Source organism: Homo sapiens, chromosome 6, assembly GCF_000001405.40.
Source record: "Homo sapiens chromosome 6, GRCh38.p14 Primary Assembly".
NCBI lineage: Eukaryota > Metazoa > Chordata > Mammalia > Primates > Hominidae > Homo > Homo sapiens.
In genome coordinates this window covers 37801722-37807721 of record NC_000006.12, presented here as the reverse complement: position 1 = coordinate 37807721, position 6000 = coordinate 37801722, and the positions used below count along the sequence as shown (strand labels likewise).

The window sequence follows — 6000 nt, the reverse complement described above, 5'->3', positions numbered from 1 at the left end:
TGTGGGGGCTGCTCAGTCATGTAGCAGACCCAATCCCATCTGGTGTATGTTCTTGAAAGGGCTGCTGGAAGAAAAAATCCACATACTGCTCATGCTGGTGGGAGGGTGTGCGTGTATACACATGTACAGGAGGAGTGTGTACACACAGGTGTGAGTACACAGGTGTGAAGCTAGATGTGTTTATATATGTGCATGCGCACGCACATACGGGGGAAACATGAACATTGAGAATTCAAAACTATTGCGTTCAATTTCCTTCTCAGAGATCATTGAGCAAATAAGTCCTTAATAATTAATAATGCTTCTGTTTTTTAAATGCTTTCCACATGGAGTAACTTAGTAGGTGCTTTATACACTTTGGTTATTGTAGTTAATATAAATCTTACAAGTGCCACTCAAAAGAAATTTTATCTTCTTTATGCTACAGATGAGAAACCAAAGTTTGTGAGGCTAAATGAGCTGTCCAACACTCAATTCGTAAGTGGCAGAGCCCGGTTTCAAGACCATGTCTCTTATTCCACAGTACATGATATTTAATTTTCATCCTCTCCTAAATCTTCTCAATGAGAATGAACCAACAAACTACAGCTACACACAACAATAGGAGTGATTTGCATAAAATTAATGTTGAGCAAAAGAAGCCAGACAGAAAAGAATACCTACTACACGATTTCATTTATATCAAGTTCAAAAACAGGCAGAACTAATCTATGATATCAAGAGTTAGGAGAATGGTTAGCCTTGCAAGGGGCAGGGAATGACTGGAAGGGGACACTGGAGGGACTTGTGGGGGGCTAGTAATTGGTAATATTTTCTGTCACCCAGGCGGGAGTGCAATGGTGCAATCACGGCTCACTGCAGCCTTGAATGCCCTAGCTCAAGTGATCCTCCTACCTCAGCCTCCCGAGTAGCTGGGACCACAGGCATGGACTACTATGTCAGGCTAATTTTAAAATTTCTTTTAGAGATGAGATCTCACTATGTTGCTCAGGCTTGAACTCCTGGGCTCCAGCAATTCTGCATCCAGTCGGTAATATTGTATTTCTTGACCTGGTGCTAGTTACATGGGTGCATTAAGTTTGTGTGAATTCATTGAGCTGTGTAGGTATGGTTCGTACACTTTTCTGTATGAATGTTTCATCTCAGTAGGAGTTCAAAATGAAAAGAAAAACCTTGCCAGGTGCTGAGAGGAATTTAGAGAAAGAAAGCACCACTGGGCCTACCTTTATGGGGCTTCTCTTCTAATCACGGGGACATAGTCTGAGCCTCAGGAAGTTTCTAGGCTGTGGAGTAGAAAGTCTTGAGGTCAGTGGACTCTGAGCTGAGTGTTCCAGGGGAGCTTACAAGGAGAATGAGAAGTGACAAGGAGAGTTAAGTGTAAAGACTGGGCCACCAGATGTGGTCAATATGCAGTGGCCAAGAGAAGATAGCAGCATGGACACCCCAGCTGGATCCTCTACTCCCTGTGGGATGTAGGGAGAACTATTCAACCCCTCAGAACCTTGGTTACCTTCCTTGTGCAATGCAGTCACTGGTAGTAAAGGCTCTTTGAGGACTAAATGACACTATATAGTTAAAACACCTGGCACAGAGCATGGTACATGGCTGGCATTCAAGTAAAGATGTGTTTGGAAAGTGGAAGAAAAGATGCTCTGGAATCTGAGAGCTTCCTCAAATATCAGAAAGGCTGGCAGGTGGAAGATGCCTCACCCACACTGGATAGCTGCGTGGCCAGAACGAAGTGATTTATTACCCATGGGGTGGGACCTGGTCTGTGACGGGCAGGCTGGCACAAGGTTGGTGGCAGCAGCTGGGACTAACTGATAAGCTCTACAAGTAAAATCCCTGGGCTGGGTGCAGTGGCTCACACCTGTAATCCCAGCACTTTGGGAGGCTAAGGCGTGAGAATTGCCTGAGCCCAGGAGTTCAAGACCAGCCTGGGCAATATAGTGAGTCCTCATCTCTACAAAAAAATTAATGAATAAAATAAAGAATTAGCTGAGTGTGGTGCATACCTCTGGTTCCAGTTGTGGTCCCACCTACTCAGGAGGCTGAGGTGGGAGGATCCCTTGAGCCTAGTAGGTCAAGGCTGCAGTGAGTCATGATGTTGCCATGCACTCCAGCCTGGGTGACAAAGTGAGACCCTGTCTCCAAAATAAATAAGTAGGCTGGGCGTGGTGGTTCACGACTGTAATCCTAGCACTTTGGGAGGCCGAGGCAGGTGGATCATTTGAGGTCAGGAGTTCGAGACCAGCCTGGCCAACATAGTGAAACCCCATCTCTACTAAAAATACAAAAATTAGCTGGGCATGGTGGTGGGCGCCTGTAATCCCAGCTACTTGGGAGGCTGAGGCAGGAGAATCACTTGAACCTGGGGAGCAGAGGCTGCAGTTGAGCTGAGATCGCACCACTGCACTCCAGCCTGGGTGACAGAGTGAGACTCCATCTCAATAAAGAAAAAATGAAAATAAAATAAAATAAATAATAAATAAATACAATGAAAGTTTCCCTGAGAGAGATCCAAGAAAAGGGACCCAGGAAAAGACATAGGCTTAGGGGAGTGAGGACAGTTTCCCAGGTTGGTAGCCCACTCAGAACTCTGAGGGAGAGCAGTCTAATTTTATAGAGGCTTATGAAGCTGTGTGCTGTGCGGTGGGAGTTCTTTCCCTATGAAATTGTTTAGAATCCACCCCTCAATTTTTTCCCAAAAAATACAGAGACTGATAGAATTTGTTTTGAAAACTTGAAGGGACCTAGTTTGGCCAGACTGAGTGAGTATCAGCAACCTGAAGACAACTGACAGATGAGTTGCCTAAGAAAACTTCCTGACTCATCTCCAAACTCAAATGCCAAATACCCAAAGAAGGTTTATTTCCCAATATTCCTCTTAGAATTTTGCACTTTCTTGTTCATGCTCCATACTGTACATATTGCATGGCCCACGGGAACTGGTGCATGAAAAACAGCCTTGCATGAGTTATTTTCTGCTTATAACAGACACCCCAAAAAACAGTGGCTTAAGCACAACAGCAGTTTATTTTGGTTTCATTTTTAAAAAGTCCAGCTGACACAGTGATGGAGGCCACAGTGGGCTATGATTGCATTATTGCACTCCAGTCTGGGCAGCAGAGCAACACTCTGCCTCTAAATAAATACATCAATAAATAAGCAAAAAAGAAAAGAAGTCCATAAAAACTCATGCTTCAAAAGATGCCATCCAAAAAATGAAAAGACAAGCCAGAGACTGGGAGAAACTTATCCAAGAAGTACACACACACACACACACACACACACACACACACACACACACACTTGAAACTCAATAATAAAAAGACAACAATTAAAAATGGACAAAAGGGACGGGCACAGTTGTTCATGCCTGCAATCACAATACTTTGGGAGGCTGAAGTGAGAGCATTGCTCGAGCTCAGGATTTCGAGATCAGCCAGGACCACATAGTGAGATATTGTCTCTGCTAAAAATCAAAAAAATTAGCCAAGCATGGTGGCATGCACCTGTAGTCCCAGCTACTTGGGAAGCTGAGATGGGAGAATCATTTGAAACTGGGAAGCCAAGCCTACCATGAACTGTGATCATACCACTGCACTCCAGCCTGGGTAACAGAGTGAGACCTTGCCTAAAAAACAAAACAAAACAGACAAAACATTTGAATTGATAATTCACCAAACAAGGTATATAAATAGCTATTAGGCACATGAAAAGATGTTCAACATCATTAGCCATTATAGAAATGCAGATCAAAACTACAGTGAGATATCACTTCACATCCACTGGAATGACTGTTACCAAAAAGACATACAGTAACAGGTCTTGGTGAAGATATGGAAAAACTGGAACCCTCATCTAGAATGTAAAATGGTAGGAAACTTCACGTGGAATGTAAAATGATAGGAATATAAAATGGTACAGATACTTTGGAAAATCATTTGGCAGTTTCTTGATAGAGTAAACATAAGTTTACTATACCAGCCAGCAATTCCACTCCTATGTATCTACCCCCCAAGAGATATGAAAATATATTCTACACAAAGACTTGAACACAAGTGTTCATATCAGTGTTATTCATAATATCCCAAAGTGGAAAAAACTGAAATATTCATTAACGTGTGAATTGTATAGCCATACATTGGAACACTATTCAGCAATAAAAAGGACAAAAGTCTGGGTGCAATGGCTCACGCCTGTGGTCCCAGCATTTTGCCAGGCTGAGGCAGGCAGATCGCTTGAGCCCAGAAGTTCAAGACCAGCCTGGGCAACACAGGGAGATCTCATCTCTACAAAAAATACAAAAATTAGCTGGGCATGGTGGCACGAACCTGTAGTTGCTGCTACTTGGGAGGCTGAGGTAGGAGGATCACTTGAGCCCAGGAGGTGGAGTCTTCAATGAGCTGAGATCATGCCACTGCACTCCAGCCTGGGCAACAGAGTGAGACCCTGCCTCAAAAGAAAAAAGAAAAAGGAGAAAAAGCACAGATACATGTTAGAACATGAATGAACCTCAAAAACACTATGCTTAGTGAAAGACCACATATTGTATGATTCTGTTTGTATGAAATGTCCAGAAGAGACAAATCCATAGAGGCAGAAAGTACATTTGTGGTTACCAGTGACTGGGGGTGTGAAAAGAAATGAGGCCAAATGGGCAAAAGATTGTGGTGAGGGTTGCACCATTCTGTAACTTTATAAAGTCATTCCTGTTGTTCCTTATTTTTTGTTTGGGTTTTTGCTGTCGTTGTTGTTTTAGAGACAAATCTTGCTTTGTTGCAGACTGAAGTGCGTGGCTCACTGTTCCCTCAAACTCCTGAGCTCAGGGGATCCTCCCACCTTAGCCTCTTGAGTAGCTAGGACTCCTGGCATGTACCACTATGACTGGCTAATTTTTTAATTTTTTTTTAGATACAGGCCCTTGCTATGTTGCCAAGCTGGCCTCAAACTCCTGGCCTCAAGCAATCCTCCACCTTGGCCTCCCAAAGCACTGGGACTACGGGTGTGAGCCACCATGCCCAGCCAATTTTTGTTTGCTTTTATTAAAGTATAATGTATTAGGTCAGTGCAAAAGTAATTGCAGTTTTTGCCATTATATGCAATGTCAAAACCGCAATTACTTTTGCACCAACCTAACACATACAAAAAAGTGCACGTCTAAAATGTACAGCTTGACTTATATACAGAAACACACAGAGACCACACCTCTGTATAACCACCACCCAGGTCAAGATGGTGAACATTTCCGGCTGGGCGCGGTGGCTCATGCCTGTAATCCCAGCACTTTGGGAGGTTGAGGCAGGTGGATCACCTGAGGTCAGGAGTTCGAAACCACCCTGGCCAACATGTTGAAATCTCATCTTTACTAAAAAATACAAAAATTAGCCGGGCCTGGTGGCAGGCGCCTGTAATCCCAGCTACTCAGGAGGCTGAGGCAGGAGAATCGCTTGAACCCAGGAGGTGGAGGTTGCCATGAGCCAAGATCCTGCCACTGCACTCCAGCCTGAGTGACAGAGTAAAACTCCGTCTAAAAAAAAAAAAAAGATAGTGAACATTTCCAGCACCCAAGAAGCCAGCCCCTCACAAAAGCTATCACCATTCTGATTTCTATCTCTATAGGTTAGAGTGTTGCCTGTTCTTAGAACACAGAGCAGGCACTCAAAGGTATTGGCCATTCTCTGTCATTGGAGGGGGTCTCTCCTAGGTTCCTTCTTGATCCTATGATTGCACGTGATTGCACGTGATTGCACTCTAGGCCCAGTGAGGATCACAAATTCTAAATCCTACCTGGGACAGAAAAGCAGCCAAAGTGGATGGGTTCAAGGAGGGACTAGGATGAACCATGGGGTCCAGGCTCCATGAAACAAGGACAGCCATATTCAGCTCCAACCAACATTCCTGAGGTCTGCATCCAGTCAGTGCTATCAGCTGGGAACCCTGGGCTTTTCTCTCTTCTTCTCCTTTCTGGGCCTCCTACCCTGCTCCTTTGCTATG

The 6000-nt window shown here is 44.1% G+C and overlaps 2 annotated features.

Moving 5' to 3' along the window:
- Nucleotides 894-1063: an enhancer, noted in NCBI's record as "experimental_91469 CRE fragment used in MPRA reporter constructs". NCBI's record gives its function as "activates a minimal promoter by MPRAs in K562 erythroleukemia cells, with activity observed for the non-introgressed 6:37774520 or rs539039121 variant allele {active_cell/tissue: K562}" and the evidence as "EXISTENCE:reporter gene assay evidence [ECO:0000049][PMID:34662402]".
- Nucleotide 978: a transcriptional cis regulatory region, noted in NCBI's record as "Neanderthal adaptively introgressed variant 6:37774520 (GRCh37/hg19 assembly coordinates) or rs539039121 in the experimental_91469 CRE". NCBI's record gives its function as "modulates activity of the experimental_91469 enhancer by MPRAs in K562 erythroleukemia cells {active_cell/tissue: K562}" and the evidence as "EXISTENCE:reporter gene assay evidence [ECO:0000049][PMID:34662402]".